The sequence below is a fragment of the Homo sapiens genome, chromosome 7 (genome assembly GCF_000001405.40).
Source record: "Homo sapiens chromosome 7, GRCh38.p14 Primary Assembly".
NCBI classification, from domain to species: Eukaryota; Metazoa; Chordata; class Mammalia; order Primates; family Hominidae; genus Homo; species Homo sapiens.
The window spans coordinates 148,589,042-148,615,973 of record NC_000007.14 but is presented as its reverse complement, the minus strand read 5'-3'; the positions used below and the strand labels follow the sequence as shown (position 1 = coordinate 148,615,973).

Genomic DNA, 26,932 nt, shown 5'->3' with positions numbered 1-26,932 from the left:
GAGCCGAGATCGCACCATTGCACTCCAGCCTGGGCGACAAGAGTGAAACTCCATCTAGAAAAAACCCCAGAAAACATAAAAGAATTGAGAAGAATGAAATCCACACAATGAGATAAGTTTCATCGCGAGTTTTACTGAATGCATGTTTTACTTAGACATACCAGATATTACAAATAATATCATAAATGACAGTGTGTTTCAGTTGTAAACTCTAGAGTCTCATCATCGGGAGCACACAGCAGACAATGGTCAGGGAAACATCTCTATCCAGGTCCTCTGGGGATCTTCGTCTCCCTTTAGAACCTGGTGGCTTGTCACTCCGTGGTCCTCTCCTGGGCCCCACACCAGTGCACAAATGCCACACAGATTCCTGCAGGTACACGTGGAACTTGGGCTCATGATCAAAGAGAATTCTCAGCCTGTCTGCTGGTGTTCAAAGTTCAGACTTCAGATTACCAAGTTTTCATCAACTGTTATTTCCAGAACTTCAGCTATTTCTCTTTTTTCTTGCAAGAAGAGATTTCACAATCTACACAAATTTAGAGATGTGACTCTTAGATTCTGCAAAATTCTTAACTGCTGTCAGTTCTGGAAATCCTTGTGGCCTCAACAGAATTCTGGAGCTTTCTTACTTCATGCCCACGTACCTACATGTGGATTACGAAGACTTCTGTTATCTCAGGATGATTTACCTTTTCCCTAGAACATCAATAGCACAGTTTAAAACACTGTCTCAGCCTGGCATGGTGGCTCATGCCTGTAATCCCAGCACTTTGAGAGGCCAAGGTGGGTGGATCGCTTGAGCCCAGGAGTTTGAGACCAGCCTGGGCAGCATGGCAAAACCCCTTCTCTACCAAAAATATAAAAATTAGCCAGTCTTATAACCTGGTCTCAAAATAAGTAAATAGATAAAAATTTTAAAAAGTATTAAAAAAAATCGCTATCTCTACCAGCTCCCACCAGTTCCTAACAAAATCAATTTCACTTACTTCATCTTCCTATTTATTAATGCTCAACCTATTTGCTTAGAACTTTAGCATTTTCCATGCAACTTTTCATTTATGTCAAAGATTTAAAGTGATACAGGCAACAATAATTTTAGAGAAATCTCATTGCTTTATTACTACTAACAGTATTTAAAATTTTTAGGCTGAAGTTTAAAAATCCTTACTATTGATGGATTACTTTTTAAGTTAGGAGTTCCTTTATAGATACTGTGGTTTGAGGCACCAATTTCATGGAACTTTATGTGCTGAGTGGTTGTACGGGCTCACGTAGGACCGAAGCCATAGCTTCCTGTAGAGACTCCATCTGCAAGTACAATGCCAGCTCCGAAATGGCATTTGCACGAAGAATTCCCATACAGGATCCCCTTTAGTGAGCTCTTATTTTGTTAAAGTTGCCTTATGTTCTCTTAATAACATTAGTTATCATTAATACAAGGGAGAAGGTGCTTTCAGAGCATCTTGGTAAGGGGCACTTTCTTTTATCTTAACATAAATCAAGTTGGCAAAAAAGCATGGGATCAGATCAGTTTCATGCTGGACATTCAGAGAATATGAAACATCCAGGCATGCAAGAATGCAACAATCCCTCCAATCTTCATTTTCATGGAAGTTTCAGAGCATCCCGTGGGTTTCCTTAAACTTGGAGGTGCTAAGACACTTCGGAGCTTACGTTTAGGTATGAACTTGTCACTGTCCTCCCAGGCTTGTAAGAGAGAGTTAGCAGATCTAGGTAACTGGAAGACAAGGTGCCGACAACTGGATCTGAGGACAAGCCCATCCTGGTGCCTGGCCTGATTCTGACTGCTCTCTGGGCATCCGTGGGACCTTGAGAAAGAAAATGCCACGGGGCACCAGATTTGGTGGGAGCTGATACAGGAGCAATAAATTCCATCCCCCGGTTCATGTTTTGGTGTGGGTTTGGCTTCTGGAAAAAACAAACAAACAAACAAATTGGGTTAAAGGGTGGAAAGATGGTGATCAGTAAGCTACTAATTTGTTCTCACATTTCTTTTGAGGCTACTAAGTAGCTGTCAGACACATGAAATAGCCTAAAGATTATAGACAAAGATATTCTGGAAATTTTGGCAACATTTGCTTTTAGAATTAGTTGGTTCCAAAATTTTAAAACACACCATTTTAATTTTTATTAGCTTTATCATTCACAGGTAATACACCAATTCAAGGTTTACAGTGGTTATCAGTATATTCAAGGAAATGTGCAACCGTCACCACTGTCAATTTTAGAACTTTTTCATCATCCCCCAAAGAAATCCTGTACCCATTAGCGGTCACTCCCCATTTCTCCCTAAGTCTCCCCAGGCAACCACTAATCTACGTTCTACCTCTATGGATTTGCCAATCTGGACATTTCACATAAATAGAATCAAACATGTAGTATTTTGTAACTGAATTCTTTCACTTAGCGTGATGTTTTCAAGGTCCGACTATGTTGTAGCATGAATCGGAACTTCATTCCTTTTAATTGCCCAGTAATAGTTTATTATATAGGTAGACCACGAATTATTTATCCATTCATCATTTGGTGGACATTTGGGTTGTTTCCATTTTTTGAGTATTATGAATAATGCTGCTATGCACGTTATTTGTGTACAGAGCTTTTGTGTGGACACATATTTTCACTTTCTTGAGTATATACCTAGAAGTAGAATTGCTGGGTCATTATGTTAAGTGAAATCAATCAGGCACAGAAAGATAAATACCACATGTTCCCTTTATATGTGGAAGCTAAAAAGAAAACTTGAGCCCATGGAAATAGAGAGTGGAACAGTGAGTCTTAGGGTCTGGGAAGAGTGGTGAGGAGGAGACTCCAGGGAGAGGCTGGTTAATGGATACGAAATGACAGCTAGATAGAAGAAATGAGTTCTGCTGTTCTGTAGCACAGTAGGGTGAAGATGGTTAACTGTAATTTATTCTATATTCTCAAAAAACTAGAAGAGAGGGTTTTGAATGTTTATGGCACAAGAAAATGATAAATATTTTAGGTGATGATATACTGATTACCCTGATTTGATCATTACACATTGTATACATGTATGGAAATATCATTCTGTATCACATAAATATTATGTGCCAACTAAAAATAAAAGGGAAAAGATCTAGTATGTGTTTAATATTTTGAGGAAGTGTCAAAGTGGCTGGCACCATCCTGTATTCCCACTGGCAATGCATGAGGGTGTCAATTTCTCCACATCCTCACCAGCCAGCACGTGTTATTACTTGCCTTTTTAGTTATAGCCATCCTAGTGGGGATGAAGTGGTTTTAATTCTGGCTTTGATTTGCATATCTCAAATGGCTAATGATGTTGAGTATCTCTTCATGTACACATTGGCTATTTGTAATCTTTTCTGGAGACATATCTGTTCATATTCTTTGCCCATTAAAAACATTGGGTTATTTATTGAGTTGTAAGAATTCTATATTTTGGATATAAGTCCCTCATCAGATATGATTTGCAAATATTTTCTCCCATTCTGCAGGTTGCTTTACACTTTGTCGATAATACATTTTATAGCATAAAAGATTTTAATTTTGATGAAGTCCAATTTCTCTATTTTTTCTTTTGTCATTTGTATAGTTCCAACATTTTGAAAGAAATATCTAGCTCTTCAAGGTAGAGATGAAAGAGTTTCAACTTATAGATCTGATGGGAAGTTCATTATTAATGCCACACTTAGAAGATGAGGAAATAAGATACTTAGAACCAAGAAATAAGAAAACAGCAATGGAAATTAAAAAAAAAATCACTGGCTAACTTCAGTTGACTACAAAGATCTCTGTCAGTCATGGTCCAGGCCAGAAGCAGGTGGAATATTCAGAAGGTCTGACTGGGGAGAATTTAATCAAGCGCCTTTTCTATAGAGGCACTGATAGTGCAAGGAAACCAGGCATTATAATGAAGCCCCCAGGGCTGGCAATGCTGCAAGGTTGCTATTCCAGTGTGGTGGACAGGGAGGGAGCAGGTACTGAAAGCTAGTGAAATGGGAGCGTTCCCTGATTCCCCCTGCAGCACATGCAACACAGGTGTGGCTCACCTGCTTGGTTGCCCTGCAGCTCAAACCCCTAGGGGGAGCATGCAGACTGGCAGGTGCAGATGCCGGGATGAATGCTTTGGGCTCTTGGCCCCGCAGCAATGTCTAGGGGTGGGTGTCTGCAACTCCCAAAGCCCAGGTGGGCACGTGTAACCCAAGCTCTTTCAGATTTGCCATCTGCAGATGGCTTGTGTGCTAATCAGCTCAATGGACCCTCTGCCTTATTGCAAGGGCAGAGGGCCAGTGTGACAGCCTCTGTTCCCTGAGCTCTGGCCCAGTGTCCCAGAAGAATCGGATCACACATGGGCTCGAAGGATAAGTGCAAGTTTTTATTGAGTGATGGAGGCGGCACTCAGCAACATGGATGGGGAGCCGGAAGTTGAAGGGGTGGGGGAAATAATCTTTCCCTGGAGTTGGGCTGCCCAGCAGCCGGACCCTTCTCCAACCACCCCTGGCCGACCTTCCCTCGGCATCAAGACGTCCCTCTTTTTCTTCTCTGCTGCATCGTTCTGCTGTCACTGGTCTGCTGGTCTCGACATTCAGCTGCTTGTGTGTGTACCCACTAAGGTCTTGGGTTTATATGGGTACAGGATGGGGGGCTTGGTTGGCCAGGGTGGTCTTGGAAAATGCAACATTCAGTCATGAAAACAGGAGTGCCTGTTCCCACTTAGATCTGTGGCACAGGCTTGAGGGTGGAGCCCTCACCAGGGACCTGGCCCTTCTCTACCCAGCACTTCCCTGCCCAACTCCCATGTCACTAGTTATGGGGAAGGGCTGTTTGGGGAAAGCCATAGCTTTTGCTAGAGGAATATGGCTACTGCCCACCTACAGTCTGGCAAGGAGCACGCTGGAGGAATCATACCTCCAACTCTCTTTCCTCTCACTCTGTCATCTCCTGCCCATACCATCTTAGTCGAACCCAATTCACACCAGGAACAAGGTGGCCTAGTTGATACAGTCCATAAGGCCAGCCTCTGGGGCCACAGAACAAGAAGGTGGAGAAGAATGAGGGGTGGATTGTGGAGCAGAAGGAGAACATCCAGTGAAGTCACTAGGTGGTGAGTCAGACACTTTGTCCTTTTGGTGGGGGAGCAATTTACACTGAAGATAATGCTCTCATCTTGTTTTTTAACTAGCCCTGCCCCATTGCTGTCCCTTTACCCAGGAATGCTTGTCCCCCATACTATGTAAAATTTGATCTCTCACAAGGCTCAGCTCAGAAGCCACCTTCTTCTTGCTGCCATTCCTCATAATTTGCTCAGAAGTGATCTCCCTCCTCGGAAGTTGTATTAGGGTTCCCCAGAGCGACAGAACTAATAGGATATATATACACACATAAAATATTATATGAAGGGGAGTTTATTAAGTAATAACTCACATGCTCACAAGGCTCCACAATAGGCTGTCTGGAAGCTGAGGAGAAAGGACAGCCAGTCCGAGTCCCAAAACTGAAGAACTCGGAGTCTGATGTTCAAGGGCAGGAAGCATCGAGCACGGGAGAAAGAGGTAGGCTGGGAAGCTAGGCCAGTCTAGTCTTTTCACATTTTTCTGCCTGCTCTATATTCTAGCTGTGCTGGCAGCTGATTAGATGGTGCCCACCCATATTAAGGGTGGTCTGCCTTTCCCAGCCCACTGACTCAAAAGTTAATCTCCTTTGGCAACACCCTGACAGACACACCCAGGATCAATACTTTGCATCCTTCAATCCAATCAAGTCGACAGAATTAACCATCACAGAAGTCTTACTTGTGGATCAAACTTCCCACAAAGTGATTCTACCTTTTCTTGTTGTTTACAGATACCTCATATGACTCTCACTGTGCAATAAAGTCCAGATGGAACCATTTTTATTTATCTTTGTGCCTCTTGCAGAACCTGCACAGTTTGCTGATGTTACACAGTGCCTCAGCTCAGAATGGATTTGGGATCAGGCATTATTGAGTCTTCTTGGAATCTGCTAGTTGGAAGGGTCCTCAGATGTACTTCCGTTTTTAACTTAGCCATTTCAAGCTCCTACTCAGCGAAGACTCCCCCTCCAGGTGGGGGACACTGTTGGTAGCCCACTCAGCATTTCTCCTTCTTCCTGTAACAGAGGCCTGACTTTTTCCAACCCTCCACCCTCCACTAAGCGGCCAAGTATCAGAGGGAAAGCTTATCCTGGGCTGAAATAATTTAAGGATAATATGTTCCCTTTTGTCAAGAATTGGTTTAGAAATGGAAATGTGACCAAGTTGTGGCTGCAGAGCCTCGGGGAGAGATTTGCTTGTGATTTCCAAGGAAGTCCTTCCTCCCTCCTTAGAGAGAAAGTCCAGTTGTTATTGGCAGCCACTTTACACCTAGGAGGACAGCCAACTTCAAGATGAAGATGTCAGTATAGATTGTGGGCTGGGATTTGAAAATCTGAGCTGTTGCTAACATCACTGAGGGTAACCTAAAGTCTGCTTTATCTCTGAAATTCTCTTTTTATGAATAAGTATATTTCCTTTTTGAAAAGACCTTTGAGTTGGGGTTTCTGTTACTCTGTATGTGAAAGGAGGCCCATATGCCCTGCCATTGTTTTCCTCTTCAACTCTGCTGATATAAGAGCCAAAATATAATTGAAGAGCTCTATGAATGTTTAGACTAGCTCTGTGCCCAGGAATGTAAGAATGGTTTGTAACAGAGACCCTGTCAAGCCTGAAACATGATATCTCATTTTACTAGTAGCTAGTACTCAGGGGGATGGGAGTTAGTACTGTATTTATTCCAGAATCTTGTTGATGTGCTACCTCTTCTCCATTACATTGGGCCTGATTTTTTTTTTTTTTTTTTTCAAAATAACGTCTTTGCAACGTGAAAGGTATTTTCTATTTCACACACATGAAAACCCCTTTGCTTCCTCAAGGTAAGAATGAACCTTAAGCTCTTATCCCAGGTAGATCAGCAACAATATTTGCCAAAGCAAAGCCATGTTTCCAAAAGAGGCCTTTCCACCCAGCATTCTTAGCAGGACCTGATGCTTCACACTAGGGAGGCAATAGGACTGTTTTTACAGCAAATGGACAAGCCACATTCACAGTGAGATTTGTTTTGCCTTTCCTTGCAATTTATTTATTTCCTGAGACAGAGTCTTGCTCTGTCGCCCAGACTGGAGTGCAGAGGTGTGACCGTGGCTCACTGCAACCTCCGCCTCCCAGGTTCAAGCGATTCTCCTGCCCTCAGCCTCCCCGAGTAGCTGGGACTACAGGCATGCGCCACCACGCCTGGCTTATTATTGCATTTTTAGTAGAGACGGGGTTTCTCCATGTTGGCCAGGATGGTCTCGATCTCCTGACCTCAGGTGTCTGCCTGCCTTGGCCTCCCAAAGTGCTGGGATTACAGGCATGAGCCACTGAGCCACGGCAATTTAGATGGGAAGTCAAACCAGCTCTTAAGTCCATGTCGAGTGATTATTGGAGTCACTTTGGCAGGCAAGGGGAGGGGACTTATTATTATTATTATTATTTCGAGATGCAGTCTCACTCTGTCGCCCAGGCTGGAGTGCAGTGGCCTGATCTCGGCTCACTGCAACCTCCGCCTCCTGGGTTCAAGCGATTCTCCTGCCTCAGCTTCCCAAGTAGCTGGGACTACAGGCGCGCACCACCATGCCCAGCTAATATTTTTGTATTTTTAGTGGAGACGGGGTTTCACCATGTTGGCCAGGATGGTCTTGACATCTTGACCTCGTGATCCGCCTGCGTCAGCCTCCCAAAAGTGCTGGGAATACAGGCGTAAGCCACAGCACCCAGCCTGGGGCTCATTATTGACAGAATTTCTGGTTACCTAATTAGCAATTTCCAAGCACTTGTCTTTCTGGGTAGAAAGATCTCATTTTCCTTCATCTATTTTTTTAAGCAGGAATGGACAAAGCCTTTAATTGGCGTTTGAGAGGGAGTGAGGTAATACGCTGGAAGTAAAGGCAGAGATTGAAGGCCATTTTATCGGGCACCTGTGGCTGAAGAATTGAAAAAAATCATCAATTAGGAAAGGGAGAAAACTAGGGGTTTGGAGCCAGGAAAGAAGGAAGAAAAATGTATTAAGAGGAAGAAAGAATATAGGAATACAAAAGAGTATAAGTGTCAGGCTCGCCTGGGTACGATTAAAGAAACATATTTAAACCCGATACGCTTTCTTGTGGTAACAGACAAAAAATACGTTTGTTGGTGATTCCTAAGTGAAAATATCCTGCAGGACTTTTTTTTAAGGTTGGTCAAAAAACTCAAAGAAAAATATTTTTTGAGTCATATTTTCTAAAGGCTGTGGTCTTCTGATCAGTCAGATAGGAAGCATTTATTGCCTAAAATCAAGCAGGAAGGATCTGTTCTTTTTCTGAAGTCCTGTAGTGGCATAAAACTGACCTCCTAAGAAATTCTTCCTTGTCTCTTTTTAATCAATAAATCTACATTCTAGGGAAATTGACCATTGCTTCCAGACATGTGTGGGAGTCCAGAACATGCCACTCCAAAAGGAGGATTGTCGAGCTGAAGACAATTAAGAAGAAACAGATGCAGGAAAGCTCTCTGCCCTCCATTTGCTTAAATGCAGGACAGAGATTTACAAGATAAAAGACATCCTGCCCCTGTCTTTTACCAGGGAGAACAAAGGTTAACCACTGAAGACAGTTTTAGACCATTATCTGCCAGGAGTAGGAGCCAGAGGAATCTACCTGAACATGCTTTACCAACTCGCTTTTATCTGCCGGTTACTTGCTTCCCCGCAGAGAAGTCCCCTCTAGAGACCCAAAGTCCTTTTCCTTTGTCCTGTCACTTCTCTAAAAATCACTATTCTTTGTTGAAGATGCTATACAAGCTGGAATTCAAAGCTATTTCTTTGAGAACTACTCCTTCCCTGGGTGTCTGCCATGAGAACTACTCCTTTCCTGGGTGTCTGCCATGTAGATGTGAAATATACATGTAAATAAACTTGTTTTTCTCGTGTGTGTGTGTGTGTGTGTGTGTGTGTGTATTTTTTTTTTAAATGGGGTCTATTCCAACTAAGAACCTTATGAGGTGGCCAGACGCGGTGGCTCACGCCTGTCATCCCAGCACTTTGGGAGGCCAACGTGGGTGGATCACCTGAGGTCAAGAGTTCGAGACCAGCCTGGCCAACGTGACGAAATCCCGTCTCTACTAAAAATACAAAAATTAGCTGGGCATGGTGGTGGGTGCCTGTAATCCCAGCTTCCTGGGAGGCTGAGGCAGGAGAATCACTTGAACCTGGGAGGTGGAGGTTGCAGTGATGCAGTGAGCTGAGATCACGCCACTATACTCCAGCCTGGGCAACAGAGCAAGACTCCGTTTTTGTTTGTTTGTTTTTAAAAGACCTATGAGGATTGAGGAAACAATGATTTTTCTTCCCCTACACATGATTTTGTGTCTGCTGCATATTTTTTTTTGTTTGTAATATCAATGTTTCTCAAAGTGGTCTGTGGGCTACCAACTTCAGCATCACCTGGGATGCTTGTTAAAAAGTATATGTTGTAGGTTCCACACCCGCTGCAATGACCCAGCATCTCCAGAGGTGAGGTATTTTTGACAGTATCCCAGATTTTGATAAATTCTAATGTTGAGAAACAGTGGTCTAGATTTTAAGACAAGATCCATGTCATTTATTTTTGTTCCCTTCTGATGCCTAGCACATAGAAGGTACTTGATAAATATTTTTTGGAGAGATGAATCTAAGAAAAGTGTAACTGTCTAAAAACTTGCCTCCGAATTTCTTTACTGTCCTGTCCCTACCTATCTGCAGAGCGAGCCTTATCTGTCTGTTCATAATCTTCTGCATGTTGGGATTTGTGGTGGTGATGGTGGGTGCAGCAATGTGAAAGGCATTAGGAGCTTGTCTTGCCCAGATGATTCCTGCAGGATGAACATGGCTGGGCTTCCATCTGTTTAAGCCTCGTTCTCAGGCCATTCTGTTTATCCTATAAACCACCCAGGATCATTTCAAGAAGTTAGTTTTCTATTTAAGTTCACCAGTGTAGTCAGGGTCTGGCCAAGAGATAGTATACACACAAGTTAGCTGAACAGTAAGAATTTAATATAAAAAGTGTTAACTAGGTAAAAATGTGTTCATTATAAAGTTGTAACAGGATAAAAAGAGAACTCTAAGGTCTCATAGAGGTAGCAACTGCAGCGTCCACTCCCAGGGTTAAAGAAACAATAAGAAAGGGAACAAGTAGGAACTTAGAGGTGGGGCACCTGGAGCTAAAACTCAGACCTTCAAGGTGGGGGCTCTGCACTGGTTCTGGTGAATATGAGATGGGCCGTATGAGGTCAGGTCTGCAAGTGCTAGAAAAACTGCAAACTGCAAACCACATTCAAAAGCTTCTGCAGAAAGGAAGTGCTGCTGCCGGGGTGAAGAAGCATTGCTAGGATGATACTCACAGGAGCAGTGAGCAGACAGGAGGAAACTCATCCTTTCCTCCTCCTCTAGCCTTGCAGTCTCCCTTTTGCTCCCCTTCTTGCCAAAGGCCAATCTGGGTCCAGCTGGCAAAGCAAAATGCAGTTGTAGTTGCCCTGACATCACAAAGCTGAGCATAGAAGGGAGGAGTTGGAGCTGAGACACCAATGGCTTAATGATGGGCATAGCTGGGTAGGTCACTATTGCTCACTGTCTTGGATGCTTTTATTCCACTATTCTCCTCTGAACACCTTGTAATTTGGTCTTAATTCCTGAGATGATTTTGTCTTTTCTTGCACTTTCTTTTCTGAGCTAAATAAATTGTTTTACATCTCATTTTTGTCTTTTTCTATTAGGAGTTTTTTCTTTGTTTGTAGCTGTGACTACAGGTGTGTGCCACCATGCCTGACTAATTTTTGTATTTCTAGTAGAAATGGGGTTTCACCATGTTGGCCAGGCTGGTCTTGAACTCCTGACCTCAGGTGATCCACCCAACTTGGCATCCCGAAGAGCTGAGAGTACAGGCGTGAGCCACCGTGTTCAGCCTCTATTAGGAGTTTTTTTATTCATGTTTTTTTGTATGTGTGTATATACATTGCTGCTAGTTTAATTATATTTAATTCATGTTGAAGCATGTGCTATATAGTTTTTCTCTGCCTTTTTTTGGAAATATTTTTATTGGTGGAAAAATTTGGATTCTTCCTGTTTTCTTCTTGTAGTAACTTCCTATGGAGGTTGCCTGCCTTCTTCTGTTTATTTTAAAGTGTCTTGGAATTATTTTTAAAATTTCAATAGGTTTTTGGGGAACAGGCAGTGTTTGGTTACATGAATAAGTTCTTAAGTGGTGATTTCTGAGATTCTGGTGGACCCATCACCTGAGCAGGGTACACTGTACCCAATGTGTAGTCTTTTATTCCTCATCCCCCTCCCACCCTTTCCCCTGAGTCCCCAAAGTCCACTGTATCACTATGCCTTTGCATCCTCATAGTTTAGCTCCCACTTGTAAGTGAGAACATATGATGTTTGGTTTTCCGTTCCTGAGTTACTTCACTTAGAATAATGATCCCTAGGCCGGGTGTGGTGGCTCACGCCTGTAATCCCAGCACTGTGGGAGGCCGAGGTGGGTGGATTACTTGAGGTCAGGAGTTTGAGACCAGCCTGGCCGACATGGTGAAACTCTCTCTCTACTGAAAATACAAAAATTAGCTGGGTGTGGTGGCAGGTGCCTGTAATTCCAGCTACTTGGGAGGCCAAGGCAGGAGAATTGCTTGAACCCAGGAGGCGGATGTTGCAGTGAGCTGAGATTGTGCCGCTGCACTCCAGTCTGGGCAACAGAGTGAGACTCAATCTCGAAAAAAGGAAAAAAAAAAAAAAAGAATAATGGTCCCTAATTCCATCCAGGTTGCTGCGAATGTTGTTATTTCATTCCTTTTTATGGCTGAGTAGTATTCCATGGGATACATATATCACAATTTCTTTATCAAATCATTGATGGGCTTTTGGTTTGGTTCTGTATTTTTGCAATTGGGAATTGTGCTGCTATAAATGTGTGTGTGAAAGTATCTTTTTCGTATAATGACTTCTTTTCCTCTGGGTAGATACCAGTAACTACCATCAAATGGTAGTTCTATAAAGTGTCTTGAATTTTTCTTGATCAGCCATTAACACATGTGTCTATGGAGTGAGTGAGGGATTTGAATGACTGATGAGGTTTCTTAGTTTAAGAAGGCTCTCTCCTGTTGGTACAGTGAAGTACAGGTTCTTTAACAAATGACTTATTTTCTGGTGCCTGGGAAGGTCAGTGTATTTCCAATTTTATGACTTCTTTGTTTCTGTGGGATCCATAATTTCCACTGCTTGACTTTCTCTTTTCACTTCAATAGATGCCTCCTCTTCCAAACTCTCACTCAGAAGCAGTGCTGTCCTAATGCTGCATCCCGGATCCTGCACACTCTACAGTACCTTTCTTCCTTTTGATTCTCTTTTTTTGGAGACAGAGTCTCGCTCTGTTGCCCAGGCTGGAGTGCAGTGGCATGATCTTGGCTCATTGCAGCCTCTGCCTCCCAAGTTCAAGCGATTTTCGGCCAATTTTTGTATTTTTAGTGGGGATGGGGTTTCACCATGTTGGCCAGGCTGGTCTCGAGCTCCTGGCCTCCCAAAGTGCTGGGATTACAGGCATGAGCCACCGAGTCTGGCCTCCTTTTGATTCTTTAGTAGCCAGATCAGCCTGGTCTCAGAGCTCTTCTGAGATTTCCCCCATCCTGAGCAAGACCCTTTCATTCTGGGTGTGATGTTTTATTTGTGTTCTGCCACCGCTAGGAACCTGGCTTTCCTCTCCTCATTTCTGTGTGTTCTCATCTGACTGCTTCAGTGTGGGCTCTGGGGCTGGGTCTGCTGATTTTGTATCTTTATTTCCTTCCTTGCATGTAAATGGACATTTGTAGCGTTCTCTTTGTGATGATGTTGACAGGCTTTTTGGGATGGTTTCATTTGCTTTTCTTGTTGATCTTTATGCCTTTTGGAGAATAAATGGAGAATTTCAGACTTAAGAAGTAGCCATTATCCTGTAGGAATCTGGAAAGGATGACTCTTTTAAAAATATATTACTTTTCTAACTGGCTGGTAGATAGACATGTAATTGAGTTCACATACTTATTTTGTATCCAACAGCTTCGATAAATGTTAAAATTAATACAACAGTTTATCTTTAGATTATTTTTGGAATTTTTAGGCAGACAATTACATCATCAGTGGATAAAGGCAGTTTTGTTTTTTCTTTTCCAATTCCTATGACTTTTGTTTCTTTTTCTTGCCTTACTGCCCTGGCCAGGATTTTTGGTACAATTGTGAATAGAAGTGTTGATAGCAGGAATCCTTGACTTTTATTTTTTATTTTTTGAGATGAAGTCTTGCTCTGTTGCCTAGGCTGAAGTGCAGTGGCACAATCTTGGCTCATTGTAACCTCCACCTCCTGGGTTCAAGCAATTCTCATGTCTCAGCCTCCCCGAGTAGCTGGGATTACAGAGATGCACCACCACGCCTGGCTAGTTTTTGTATTTTTAGTAGAGATGGGGTTTCACTATGTTGGCTAGGCTGGTCTTGAACTCCGGACATCAAGTGATCCACCTGCGTTGGCCTCCCGAAGTGGCTGGGTTTACAGGTCTGAGCCACCGTGACCCACCCTTAACTTATTATTATCAATCTTAGAGATAATGCCTTCAACATTTTGGTATTAAATATAATGGTTGCTGTAGATGCCCTTTATCTTATTTTCACATTAAAAAAATAATTTAATGGTGAATTAATACTAATTTTATGAAGCTTTTTCTATAAAAACTGAGAAAAATCATATAATTTTAATCTCAATTAGATAAACTGACAAAGAGAGATTCATATAGATTTTCCAATGCTAAACCACTCTAGCATTCTAGAGATAAACTCAGTTTGGGCCGGGTGCTGTGGCTCACGCCTGTAATCCCAGTACTTTGGCAGGCTGAGGGAGGAGGATCGCTTGAGGCCAGGAGTTTGAGACCAGTTTGGGTACCATAGTGAGACCCTGTCTCTACAAAAAATAAAAAAAATCAGCTGGGCATGGGAGCATGTGCCTGAAGTCGTAGCTACTCAGGAGGCTGAGGTGGGAGGATTACTTGAGCCCAGGAGTTCGAGACTCTAGTGAGTTATGATTCCAACACTGTATTCTAGCCTGAGCAACAGAGCAAGACCGTGTTTCTAAAACAAAACAAAACAAAAACCCCACAAAACAAACAAACAAACAAAAAATATGTTCTCTAACCATATTGCAATAAAATTAAAAACTAATAACAAATAACAAGTGGGTTGCTTAAAAAGGCCCATCCGAGGTGGCTCATGCCTATAATCCCAGCACTTTGGGAGACCAAGGCAGGCAGATTGCTTGAGTCCAGGAGTTCAAGACCAGCATGAGCAACATGGTGAGACCCTGTTTCTACGAAAAATGCAAAAATTTAGACAGGTGTGGTGGTACATGCCTGAAGTCCTAGCTACTTGGGAGGCTGAGGTGGGAGGATGGCTTGAGCCCAGGAGGTGGAGGCTGCGGTGAGCCGAGATTGTGCCACTGCACTTCAGCCTGGGCAACAGAGTGAGACTCTGTCTCAAAAAATAAAAAAAATTTTAAAAGCTCACTTATTTGGAAAATAAATAACCTGCTACTAAAGAATCATAAATTTTAAAAGGATTTAAAAATCATAAAAATACAAAATATGTAGAACTAGGCAATAATGAAAACACCGTCTTTTAAAATTGGTGGGAAGCCGCCAAAACAGTATTTAGAGAAAAATTCTTCACTCAAAATAAATTAGGCAACAAGAAAGGTTAAATCAAATGAACTCAAAGAATGATCTTAAAGAAGTCAATAAGGCCGGGCGCGGTGGCTCACACCTGTAATCCCAGCACTTTGGGAGGCTGAGGTGGGCAGATCATGAGGTCAGGAGATCGAGACCATCCTGGCTAACATGGTGAAACCCCATCTCTACTAAAAATACAAAAAATCAGCTGGGTGTGGTGGCGTGTGCCTGTAGTCCCAGCTACTCAGGAGGCTGAGGCAGGAGAATTGCTTCAACCCGGGAGGTGGAGGTTGCAGTGAGCCGAGATCACGCCACTGCTCTCCAGCCTGGGTGACAGAGCGAGACTCCGTCTCAAAAAAAAAAAAAAAAAAAAAGAAGTCCATAAAATGGAGAAAGCAGAAAAATAAAGATGAATCAAGCCCAAAGCTGGTCCTTTGAAAGATTAATAAGACAGAACCCTGGCAAAATGGATAAAGAAAACACAAAATAAGATGCATATAGGCAAAATAAAGAATTGAAATGCAGAAATGAATATAGGTGCATAACAAATTTTTATCTTAATGAGTACCATGAACAACAAACATTGAAAATTTGAAAACCTCATTGACAGTAAAAAGTTCCCAGTATTGCCCTTATATCCTGGCAAGAGGGGTCCCTGCTCTGGGCTTAATTTATTTCATTTCATTTTTCATTTTTGTTTTTTGAGACTGAGTCTTGCTCTGTCACCCAGGCTGCAGTACAATAGCATGATCTCAGCTCACTGCAACCTCTGCCTCCCTGGTTCAAGTGATTCTCCTGCCTCAGCCTCCTGAGTAGCTGCGATTACAGGCACCTGCCACCATGGCTAGCTAATTTTTTTGTATTTTTAGTAGAGATGGGGTTTCACCACATTGGCCAGGCTGGTCTTGAACTCCTGATCTCAAGTGATCTGCCCACCTTGGCTTCCCAAATTGCTGGGATTACAGGCGTGAGCCACTACGCCCAGCTCTGGGCCTATTTTAGAGGCTCAACTCTGACCCTCCTCTGGTTCTTCCCATCCCCAAATGGCTAGAGGTACCCAGAGACAAGAGGCTGTGCCCATTGGAGCCTGTTTTCCTACCACAAAACTGCGGGGCATGGGCTGTGAAATCCTCTAAGCAGCTCTAAGTTCATTTCCAGGGATCGAGGAGGCTCTTTCCTACACGCAGCCTGTCCTCCCAAAGTGGCCAAGGGGTGGCTGTTTATGGGCGTGTAGATGGAGTTTGGACGCGTAAGCTGTGTGTCTGTAAACACACTCAGGAGGTCCTTGAGGTGCAGGGCAGAGCTGGAGATGGGAAGAGAGTAGTCGTGCTGCAGGTCAAGGGCCAGCTCTCCACAGCCACCCACATTCCAGGGTGGACTTTAAGAAATCTGAGAATTCTAGGCTGGGCGTGGTGGCTCACGCCTGTAATCCCAGCACTTTGGGAGGCCGAGGTGGGTGGATCACGAGGTCAGGATTTCGAGACCAGCCTGACCAACATGGTGAAACCCCATCTCTACTAAAAATACAAAAATTAGCAGGACGTGATGGTGCGCACCTGTAATTCCAGCTACTTGGGAAGCTGGAGGCAGGAGAATTGCTTGAACCCGGGAGGTGGAGGTTGCAGTGAGCTGAGACCATGCCATTGCACTCCAGCCTGGGCGATAGAGCAAGACTCCGTCTCAAAAAAAAAAAAAAAAAAAAAATCTGAGAATTGTAAATTTGAACCTGGCCTTCCAGGTTGTTATAAAAGCATTTTTGTCAAGGTAGGAGGATAGAAGATATTTAACAGTTTATTCACATGACTTCAAACTTTTTCATATTTAGACATATTGTTCAGGGGTTTCATTTGTGTTCTTGTCTCAGGCCCTATAATGTTTGAGGTAGACCCGTTTCTTAAGATTTCAGATTTGTAGGAATTAACACTACGATATTAGGTACTAAGCTGTGGGAGCAGTTTGCCGTAATTTAGAAAGTAGACCATTCTGCATCTGGCTCAATAATTTCATTCCTGGCCAGGGGCAGTGGCTCATACCTGTAATCCCAGCACTTTGGGAGGCGTAGGTGGGTGGATCACTTGAGGTCAAGAGTTTGAGACCAGCCTGGCCAACATGGTGAAACCCCATCTCTACTAAAAATACAAAAATTAGCCAGGTGTGGTGGCAAGTGCTTGTAATCCCAGCTACTTGGGAAGCTGAGGCAGGAGAATCACTTGAACCTGGGAGGCGGAGGTTGCAGTGAGCCAAGATCGTGCCATTGCACTCCAGCTTGGGCAATAAGAGTGAGACTCTGTCTTAAAATAAATAAATAAATAAAATTAAAAAAAGATAAATAATTTCATTCCTGGATATATTCTCATTCTCTCTCTCTCTCTCTCTCTCTCTCTCTCTCTCTCTCTCTCTCTCTCTCTCTATATATATATATATATATATATATATATATATATATATCCAGGAATGAAATTTTTTTTATATATATACATATATATAGGTATGTGTGTGTGTGTGTATATATATATAGAGAGAGAGAGGGAGAGAGAATATAGGTTCACTTATTTGCAGAGCGCCAGTTCTGCTATAAGAAGGAAGAACTTGCACCAGAATGTTGTAGATTAACTTTATTATGCAACATAACGTCAAGTTTAGCTGATGTTTGTTTCATAGTAAGATTTTCATGATTAAGGAAGCAGGGCATTGGTTTACCAGAAACAAACAGTTCTCAGACCATATTTTGAGTAGCACTGTCCCAGAGAAAGTTTTGCTTAAGTGCCAGAGTTGTCACGTACCAGGATGTTTCTGTTAATATTGTTTGTAATCTAATTGTTGGCAATTGTGGCAACAATCTGGGAGGAACCTAAGTGTCCATCAACAAAGAAGTAGAAAACCAGACTGTGGGATGTTTATAGAATGGCACACAAAACAGCAATGAAATTGAGGGAACTGAACATTTCAATATGGATGCGTTTCATAAGCCTCATATAAGGGGTGGGGGCAGGAGAGGAGGAAGGCAGATTGCAAAATAATCAGTGTATAATACCACTGATATAAAGCTGAAAACACGCAAAAATACAGTGTGTTGTTTAAGAATACATATGTAAGTAGAGTATAAGAAACGCAAGGGAGGCTGGGCGCCGTGGCTCACTCCTGTAATCCCAATACTTTTGGAGACCAAGGCGGGAGGATCACTAGGTCAGGAGATCGAGATCATCCTGGCTAACACAGTGAAACCCCATCTCTACTAAAAATACAAAAAATTAGCCGGGCATGGTGGCAGGCACCTGTAGTCCCAGCTACTCGGGAGGCTAAGGCAGGAGAATGGCGTGAACCTGGGAAGCGGAGCTTGCAGTAAGCTGAGATCACGCCACTGCACTCCAGCCTGGGCGACAGTGCGAGATTCCGTCTCAAAACAAAACAAAACAAAACAAAACAAAACAAAACAAAACAAATGCAGAGGAAGGGAATGATCCACAATGAATTCAGAATAATGGTTACTTTTTGGGATGGGAGATTGGGAAGGATGGGGCTAGTATGCTGGATAGTAGCATGAAGATTCTTGTTATGTTATTTGATGACTTTTGTCTAAAAAATATTTTTGGGCAGGGTACAGTGGCTCACACCTGTAATCTCAGCACTTTGGGAGGCCAAGGTGGGTGTATCACCTGAGGTCAGGAGTTTGAGACCAGCCTGGCCAATATGGTAAAACCCCATTGCTATTAAAAATACAAAAATTAGCCAGGCATGGTAGCAGGTGCCTGTAATCCCAGCTACTTGGGAGGCTGAAGCAGCAGAATTACTTGAACTCGGGAGGCATAGGTTGCAGTGAGCTGAGATTGTGCCATTGAACTGCAGCCTTGGTGACAGAGTGAAACTCCATCTCAAAAAAATAAATAAAAATAAATAAATAACATTTTAAATACATTTTGAAAATATTTTAATTATAATTTTTGGTTAAATATATATGCATATATATGTATGTATTATATATATGTGTATATATATATATGTATCCAAATGAGTTGAAAACTTAGGTCCTCACAAAATATCCACACAGATGTTGGTAAGCAGCTGTATTCATAATTGGCTCAAACTTGGAAGCATCCAAGATGTCCTCCAGTAGGTAAATGAAAAAATAAACTGTGGTACACCCAGACAATGGAATATTACTCAGCACTAAAAGGAAATGGGCTATCAAGTCATGGAAAGGCTGAAGGAAGCTTAAATGCATATCGCTAAGTGAAAGAAGCCAATCTGAAAAGGCCACGGACTGTAGGATTCCAACTATATATGACATTCTGGAAAGGACAAAACTATGGAGACAGTAAAAAGATCAGTGGTTGCCAAGGAGTAGAGTGGGGGAGGAAGGGAGTGGGGAAGGAGGAAGGGAGGAACAGATGGAGCACAGAGGATTTTTAGGGCAGTTGATATGGTTTGGTTGTGTCCCCACCCAAATCTCAAATTGAATTGTACTCCCATAATCCCCAAGTGTTGTGGGAGGAACCTGGTGGGAGATAATTGAATCATGGGGGCAGTTTCCCCCATGTTGTTCTGATGGTAGTGAGTAAGTCTCATGGGATCTGAGGGTTTTATCAGGGGTTTCTGCTTTTGCGTCTTTCTCATTCTTTCTTTGCCTGCTGCCATCCATGTAAGACGTGATTTGCTCCTCCTTGCCTTCCACCATGATTATGAGGCTTCCCCAGCCATGTGGAACTGTAAGTCCAATTAAACTTATTTCTTTTGTAAATTGCCCAGTCTCAGGTATCAGCAGCGTGAGAACAGACTAATACAGCAGTGAATGAGACTGTAACAGAAGATGCATGACCTTATGTATTTGTCCAAACCCACTGTAATCTAAACTATAAACTTCAGGTGATAATACATCAATGTTGGTTCATCAGTTGTAAAAAATCCACCATTCTGGTGGGGGAAGTTGATAGGGAGGGAGGTTGTGCATGTGTGAGGGCAAGAGGTACCAGAAATCTCTATTTTCTGCTCAGTTTTACTGTGAACCTAAAATGGCTCTAAAAATATAAAGTTTATTATATAAAAGTATATAAGTCCACATTTCTGTGAAGGCAGTTCTTTTTTTAAAACACGAACTCTGCATCAACTGCAGAATAGAGATTATAACTGGAATGTTTAATGTTAACCTAAAATATATTTGAAAAAAAAATTTAATTGCACACAACCTGTTGCAATTTTGTAGTTACTCATTTTCTTGCCAGTATTCTCAGTAATCTGTGATCATGGTTAAACATTGGTTAATGTGATAAATTTAATGGTTATGACCTGGGTAAGCCACAGCATCCTCTCATAAAATGAAGTCCAATCAGCTTTAAGGTCAAGGTAAAAATAGGAATAGCATAGGTTAAAAGAAGCAAGCAGGCCAGGCACAGTGGCCTGCTTGAGATATAGATATATATATATATTATATCTATATAACATAGATGTATATTATATATAATATATATAATATGTATATCTATATAATATAGATCTATATTATATCTATATAATATAGATCTATATTATATCTATATAATATAGATGTATATTATATATAATATATATAATATGTATATCTATATAATATAGATCTATATTATATATATTATATAGCTATATGTTATATATAATACAGATCTATATTATATATACTATAGCTATATAATATATAATATAGATCTATAGTATATATAATATATAATAGCATATATATAGCTATATAATATATATCTATATTATATAGATATATCTATATAATATAGATCTATATTATCTATGATATATCTATATAATAGAGATCTATATTATATTTGATATATCTATATAATATAGATCTATATTATATAGATATATCTATATTATATATTATATATCTATATAATATATATCTATATAATATAGATATCTCTATATTATACATGATATATATCTATATAATATATATCCATATAATATAGATATTATATAATATACTCAGGAGGCTGAAGCAGGAGGATCGATCACTTGAACCCAGGAGGTCAAGGCTGCAGTGAGCCGTGAATGTGCCACTGCACTCCAGCCTGTCTCAAAAAATACAAAACAAACAAAAGAAAACCTGACCTGGTGAATATTCAGAAACTATTAAGTGAAAAGCTGGTGCTCATTGTTAGGTGGTCAGGACTTTCTGCTTCTTAAGAGTCCCTAATGATTCCCAGGGCCAAGCATGTTCAGATGGGGACACTGTCTTGTGGCTCACTGTTGTCTCATGTAAGCAGGAGCGGCTGGGAGTGCAGGCTGCAGGCTGTACTTGCTGTTAGGTTCCTGAACCATAACATTAACATAGACATTGTCCTTCTTTTGAATAGAAGACAAATGATCCACAGTGGTACCATGCCAAACCTCACTCTGTAAGGATATATTGGACTGAAATATATTGAATATATTCCCAAATTCAAATATATTGAATTTCATCATATTTTCCCTAAACCATTTGGTTTCACATTTCCCTAAACAATTTGGTTGGATTATATCTCCCTACAAACTGTCACCCTCCTTCTGCCAAGCAAATGAAATGATAACTGTTCTGCATTTTACTTGGGTGTCATCTTAGTACCCTTACTGGTAAGTTGGTATCATCTTTCCTCTTACTTCTTGTATTAGGCTGTTTTTGCATTGCTGTAAAATACCTAAGGCTGGGTAATTTATAAAGAAAAGAGGTTGGTCGGGCGCGGTGGTTCACGCCTGTAATCCCAGCACTTTGGGAGGCCGAGGCGGGCAGATCACAATGTCAGGAGATCGAGACCATCCTGGCTAACATGGTGAAACCCCGTCTCTACTAAAAAATACAAAAAATTAGCCTGGCATGGAGGCGGATGCCTGTAGTCCCAGCTACTCGAGAGGCTGAGGCAGGAGAATGGCACGAACCCGGGAGGCGGAGCTTGCAGTGAGCCAAGATCGTACCACTGCACTCCAGCCTGGGCGACAGAGCGAAGACTCTGTCTCAGAAAAAAAAAAAAAAAAAAAGAAAAGAGGTTTAATTGGCTCATGGTTCTGCAGGCTGTACAGGAAACATGGCGTCTGCTCGGCTTCTGGGGAGGCCTCAAGGAGCTTTCACTCATGACGGAAGGCAAAGTAGAAGCAGGCACATCGAACAGCAAAAGTGAGAGCAAGAAAGCAAGAGAAGGTGCCACACACTTAAACAACCCGATCTTGTGAGAACTCACTCACTATCGCAAGGACAGCACCAAGAGGATGGCGCTAAACTATTCATGACAAATCCACCCCCATGATCCAATCACCTCTCATTAGGCCCCACCTCCAACACTAGGGATCACATTCCAGCATGACACTTAGCCGGGCAAATATTCAACCATGTCACTTCTTTTCCAGCAGGCATCTCTCTGGGCTCTGACCCTTTCCTGTCAATCCCAGTTGGGAGTCTCCGTTTCTACAATCCCCTCCAAACAGGCTGTATCCCCCGACCCTGGCTTCATGCTCAGCCTTTCCTAAATGCATTAAACACCCAGTCAGAGGAAAAGCATTTTGACTTCAAATTAACATTTAAAATAAAAACTAACTTTAAAACATGTTATTATGAAGGCAATAGAGATTCTCTATTTAAAGAAATTCAGGCCAGTTGCAGTGGCTCACACCTGTAATCCCAGCACTTTGGGAGGCTGAGGCAAGCAGATGATTTGAGGTCAGGAGTTCGAGACCAGCCTGGCCAACATGGTGAAACCTCGACTCTACTAAAAATACAAAAAAATTAGCTGGGAGTGGTGGCAGGTGCCTGTAATTCCCGCTACTTGGGAGGCTAAGGCAGGAGAATTACTTGAATCCAGGAGGCGGATGTTGCAGTGAGCCAAGATTGAGCCATTGCACTCCAGCCTGGGTAACAAGAGCAAGACTCCATCTCAAAATGAATAACAAAAATAAAGAAATTCAGAACATTCTGAGCTTTGGAAAAATAATACGTAACTCATAGTGCCATCCATAGACAACCACTTTGAGACTTTGCTGTATCTTCCAGTGATCTAATTAGATTTAAATCGTGTCGGCCAGGCATGTTGGCTCATGCCTGTAATCCCAGGACTTTGGGAGGTGAGGTGGGTGGATCACTTGAGGTCAGCAGTTTAAGACCAGCCTGGTGAACATGATGAAACCCTGTATCTACTAAAAATACAAAAATTAGTAGGATGTGGTGGTGGGTGCCTGTAATCCCAGCTACTGGGGAGGGTGAGGCAGGAGAATCATTAGAACTCAGGAGGTGGACGTTGTAGTGAGCTGAGATCGTGCCATTGCACTTCAGCCTGGGTGACAAGAGTGAAACTCCATCTCAAAAAAACAATAATAAAAAAAAGATTTAAATCATATCTACCCTGCTGGGGCACAGTGGCTTCCACGTGAAATCCCAGCACTTTGGGAGGTTGAGGCAGGCAGGTCACCTGAGATCAGGAGTTTGAGACCAGCCTGGCCAACATGGTGAAACCCTGTCTCTACTAAAAATACAAAAATTAGCTGGGCATGGTGGCGTGCACCTGTAATCCCAGCTACTTGGGAGGCTGAGACAGGAGAATCGCTTGAACCCAGGAGGCAGAGGTTGTAGTGAGCCAAGATCACGCCACTGTACTCCAGCCTGGGCGACAGAGCTAGACTCCATCTCAAAAAAAAAAAAAAAATCCTATCTACCCTATATGCTCCACCCATGCACTTGTGGCATCCTTTAAAAGGAAGGTTTAGGCAGTGATAATCTTTTCTCACCTTCTTTTAAGCACATATACGTCATTGATTATCATTTATATTCATCATTCAGAGACTAATTGTATTGGTTCACATCAAAGTACCCCTGGCTGAGGAGGTATTTTCTTCTTTTTACTCTTCTTATGCTAAATGGGCTTTCCCTGACATGGGCTGTCTGCATCTGACCTTAGCAGCAGGCAGACACAACCCCCTTGCTGACCCTGCAGTTCATGCTGCTGTTCTCAGGGAAAGGTCATGAAATCCTCTCTGCCCTCGAATGACCAGAGTCATTCTTCATATCAGAAGATACTCTGAGCCTGTGGCATGTGTCAGTTTGGGGCACTGTGCCACAATGAGGGTGTGGGCAAATGGGAAGAAGCCAGGAACTGCAACATGGGAGAAAACAAATTAGGGCTGGAGAACTAGGTGGGGACACCTGTGGTTCCCATCAAACTGAACACCCAAAGCTGGAGATAAATACAAAGTGGGAGCTCATACTTTAACCAAAAATGCCTGCCTAGTGGGAGGCAGGGGCTTGGGGATCAGGAGGTGTCAAAGATCAAAGACAGGCAAAGAGTTAAGGATCCAGGTCTTGCTGGGCATGGGTGGCACTTCGGGATGTTGAAGTGGGAGGATCGTTTGAGGACAGGAGTTCAAGACCAGCCTGGGCAACATGGCAAGACCCCATTTCTACAAAAAATAAAAAAATTAGCTAAGCCTGATGGCACATGGCTGTAGTCCTAGCCACCCGGGAGGCTCCTCTGGGAGGATCACTTGAAGCCAGGAGGTTGATGCTGCAGTGAGCTATGATTGTGACACTGCACTCCAGCCTGGGTGACAGAGCAAGATACTATCTCTAAAACAACAACAACAACTCCTGGTCTTTAAAGCGAGAGAAGAGACAAGAATCTAGGCAAGGAGAAGGGAACAGGTGCAAAGCTTGTGCCAAAGGGTGACCAAGATAGAGGCTTCCTGTGGACCCATCTCCAGGGCAAAACATAGTCTGAGAACAAGCGCATTCCTTCTACCACACTGTGTGAAAATATACAATTTTTACGCTGGAATTTTTCAAATCAACATGACTCAGGCTAAACACAAGAATACTCAGTGGAGTGTTTTGTGAGGATTCTTTTCCCTAAGAAGATTCCAGGCCTTCTTTGGGGCAGTGAATTAATCTCTGTCTCTCTCTTTACTTCAATGTCGTTAAGCCCAGTTCCATAACACATAGTAGAGAGTCAAAAACATTCATGGATTGAGTGAATGAATTCTCAAGAGATACTGACTGACTCAAAGAGCAGTTGATTCATCTTAGAATCATTAACTTACCTTATGTCTTCCCGTGGCATATGACAAGTTAAATTGACCTGGACCGCCCCTAACGTGGACCCAAACAGCGACTGCCCTCCCACTCAGGCGAAGGTCAATCCGGCGCCTTGCCCCACTGGGCAGGAGGGCTTCACATTCACATTGGGGGCCTGGAAGTCTCCAGGGACACTCTTCAAGGCTGAGGCTTTGAACTTCCACTTGCATTTTGGCAAAGGTAATTACCTTTCCTGGATGCTGTCAAGGAGAGCGGCGCTTCACCACCAATATCTAAGATCAAGTCGCACGGATCCCCAGGGTCAGTAGGAGGATTCAGACACAGGCTGGGCGCCTCGCTCCTGACCACTGGATTGGCATCACCATAAGTAAGGTCACAGCTGAGTAGAAAATGCCTGAGGCAAAGTGGGGGTGAAAGAGGGGCCACCGAGCAGTGTGATAGGCAGCCCCTTCCGCCAGCTCATTATCCCCACCTGCTCCTGTCGTCTCCTATTAGAATCCTAATGCGAGTTTACGGAAAGTCAGCTGGAGCTTGTCCTCCATGTAATTCAGATCACGTTGCCTGCAGCTCTTAGGTACTCAAATAAACAGAAGGACTAATATTACTACTGAAAAAGTAATTAAGGGCATTCATTGTAAAGTAATAATGATTACCTCACCCTCACCATATGGCCAGAACTGATTAACACCTAGAAGAAATGATCTAAAACCTCTACAATCAGAATTAATGTCTCAGGTCATAATGAGAAACATTTTGTAGCGGGGTTTGGCAGGGAAGGATGAAAAAGTGGTTGGGAGTTTACTAAATCAAGAGGCACAAACAAAATATTGAGGATAACATCCTTTTTCAGGATTTTTCATCTCATTCAGATTAGACAAGTTGCATTTTTAGTGTAGAACCCATATCACAAATGCAAAAAATATTACAAGATTTACACATTGGAATTGTCACTTAATTGGATGAGTTTTTCCTCCATTGTTTCTTTTATAATGATGAGGAATTGATGGAAGAATCTCCATCGAGGCTGGCAGTTTCTTAAATCACCAGGGAAGGGCTTAGCCCACTGATTGAAAATCTTCTTATCGTAAATTACTGGTTAAAATGCTATTTGTTGTCAGGAGTATCATGGAGTGTGATTTAATCTCTTAAGATTAGTTAAAGTGGTAGAAATGTTAGCATTTCTGGGTAATGCCAAACAGGTTAGCATTACAAAAGATGCCTAGAAAGATACGGACCCATTTGGAAGACAAGGTTGCTGTAAAAGCCAGTTTGCAGGTGCACCGTGGGGGGTGACAGGATGCCCTGGGCTGTTCTTGATTAGTGCGTGTGCCCTAGGGTCATGTGGTGAAGCATAAGGAAGCAGAATTTGGGATATTTTTCCCACCAGAATCCCTAAGATTACTCTGTGTACTGCTGGGGAAAAGCTTAATGGGCTCAACACCACCCTTGAGGGAAGGCAATAATGGAATCTCTTTTTTCTGCAAATACTTCCTTGGGTGGTGCATCATGATTCCCTGAGGCAGGATTTCCTGCAGCAGAGCTGGAGGGGCTGGAGGGGCTGGTGGGGCTGGTGGGGCTGGTGGGGCTGGAGGGGCCAGAGGGGCTGGTGGGGCTGGTGAGTCTAGAGGTGCTGGAGTTCCAAGAACTTGGCCTGGAATCTTGAACCTGCAGCCATACATTCGGACTCTAGCTTTGCCTTTTTACTTATCTGTCTTTGACCACTAAAGAAATAGACAGACCTCATAATATTATTTCCTCGACTGCCTCTTAAAAGTCAAAACCTTAAGTTAAGGACACCTCACATTTTGGTCAAGACCAGTGGACCTAGGTAAGAGTAAATCAGAGAATTCCCAAGGTGGAAGAAGTTATTCCTAGACAACGAATGAATCCCCTGGATTTGGGTTGCGGAGTGAGGTGACCAGCTGGTCACCCTGGGGGTGGACTGAGCCAAATGCCTAAGCCTCATTGTTGTTTTAATAACCCAAGTTGGATTCAGGGAGTACCTGTGCAATTCTGTGATTAGCACATCGGGCAGTGAGATTTCCGCACGTTGTAGCTGAGAGGCCGGCTGCTGAGACGACCCCTTAGGGAAA

The 26,932-nt window shown here is 42.6% G+C and overlaps 2 protein-coding genes across 2 annotated transcripts, besides 4 other annotated features; one reads left to right on the top strand and one right to left on the bottom strand.

The window, feature by feature from the left end:
• Positions 1-113: 113 nt before the first annotated feature.
• On the bottom strand, positions 114-25,208 carry C7orf33 (chromosome 7 open reading frame 33). Its single transcript, NM_145304.4, has 3 exons — positions 24,845-25,208; positions 1,678-1,932; positions 114-647 (listed from the first exon to the last, which is right to left on the bottom strand). The coding sequence occupies exons 1-3, from the start codon at positions 25,046-25,048 to the stop codon at positions 573-575; spliced, it is 534 nt and encodes a 177-aa protein (NP_660347.1). The 5' UTR covers positions 25,049-25,208; the 3' UTR covers positions 114-572.
• Positions 3,783-4,283: an enhancer, noted in NCBI's record as "H3K4me1 hESC enhancer chr7:148308783-148309283 (GRCh37/hg19 assembly coordinates)". NCBI's record gives its function as "activates a minimal SCP1, AML or CMV promoter by ChIP-STARR-seq in naive H9 embryonic stem cells {active_cell/tissue: H9 hESC(naive)}" and the evidence as "EXISTENCE:reporter gene assay evidence [ECO:0000049][PMID:30033119]".
• Positions 4,284-4,784: an enhancer, noted in NCBI's record as "H3K4me1 hESC enhancer chr7:148308282-148308782 (GRCh37/hg19 assembly coordinates)". NCBI's record gives its function as "activates a minimal SCP1, AML or CMV promoter by ChIP-STARR-seq in naive H9 embryonic stem cells {active_cell/tissue: H9 hESC(naive)}" and the evidence as "EXISTENCE:reporter gene assay evidence [ECO:0000049][PMID:30033119]".
• Positions 7,566-12,406, top strand: LOC124901818 (protein GVQW1-like; the record flags this gene model as incomplete). Its single annotated transcript, XM_047421175.1, has 3 exons — positions 7,566-7,693; positions 10,893-10,977; positions 12,362-12,406. Coding segments are annotated over 3 exons (258 nt in total), but the record flags the coding sequence as incomplete, so codon positions are not given.
• Positions 8,016-8,735: an enhancer, noted in NCBI's record as "OCT4-NANOG-H3K27ac-H3K4me1 hESC enhancer chr7:148304331-148305050 (GRCh37/hg19 assembly coordinates)". NCBI's record gives its function as "activates a minimal SCP1, AML or CMV promoter by ChIP-STARR-seq in primed H9 embryonic stem cells {active_cell/tissue: H9 hESC(primed)}" and the evidence as "EXISTENCE:reporter gene assay evidence [ECO:0000049][PMID:30033119]".
• Positions 21,851-22,051: a silencer, noted in NCBI's record as "peak6831 fragment used in MPRA reporter construct". NCBI's record gives its function as "represses an SCP1 promoter by STARR-seq MPRAs in K562 erythroleukemia cells {active_cell/tissue: K562}" and the evidence as "EXISTENCE:reporter gene assay evidence [ECO:0000049][PMID:32103011]".
• Positions 25,209-26,932: the final 1,724 nt, after the last annotated feature.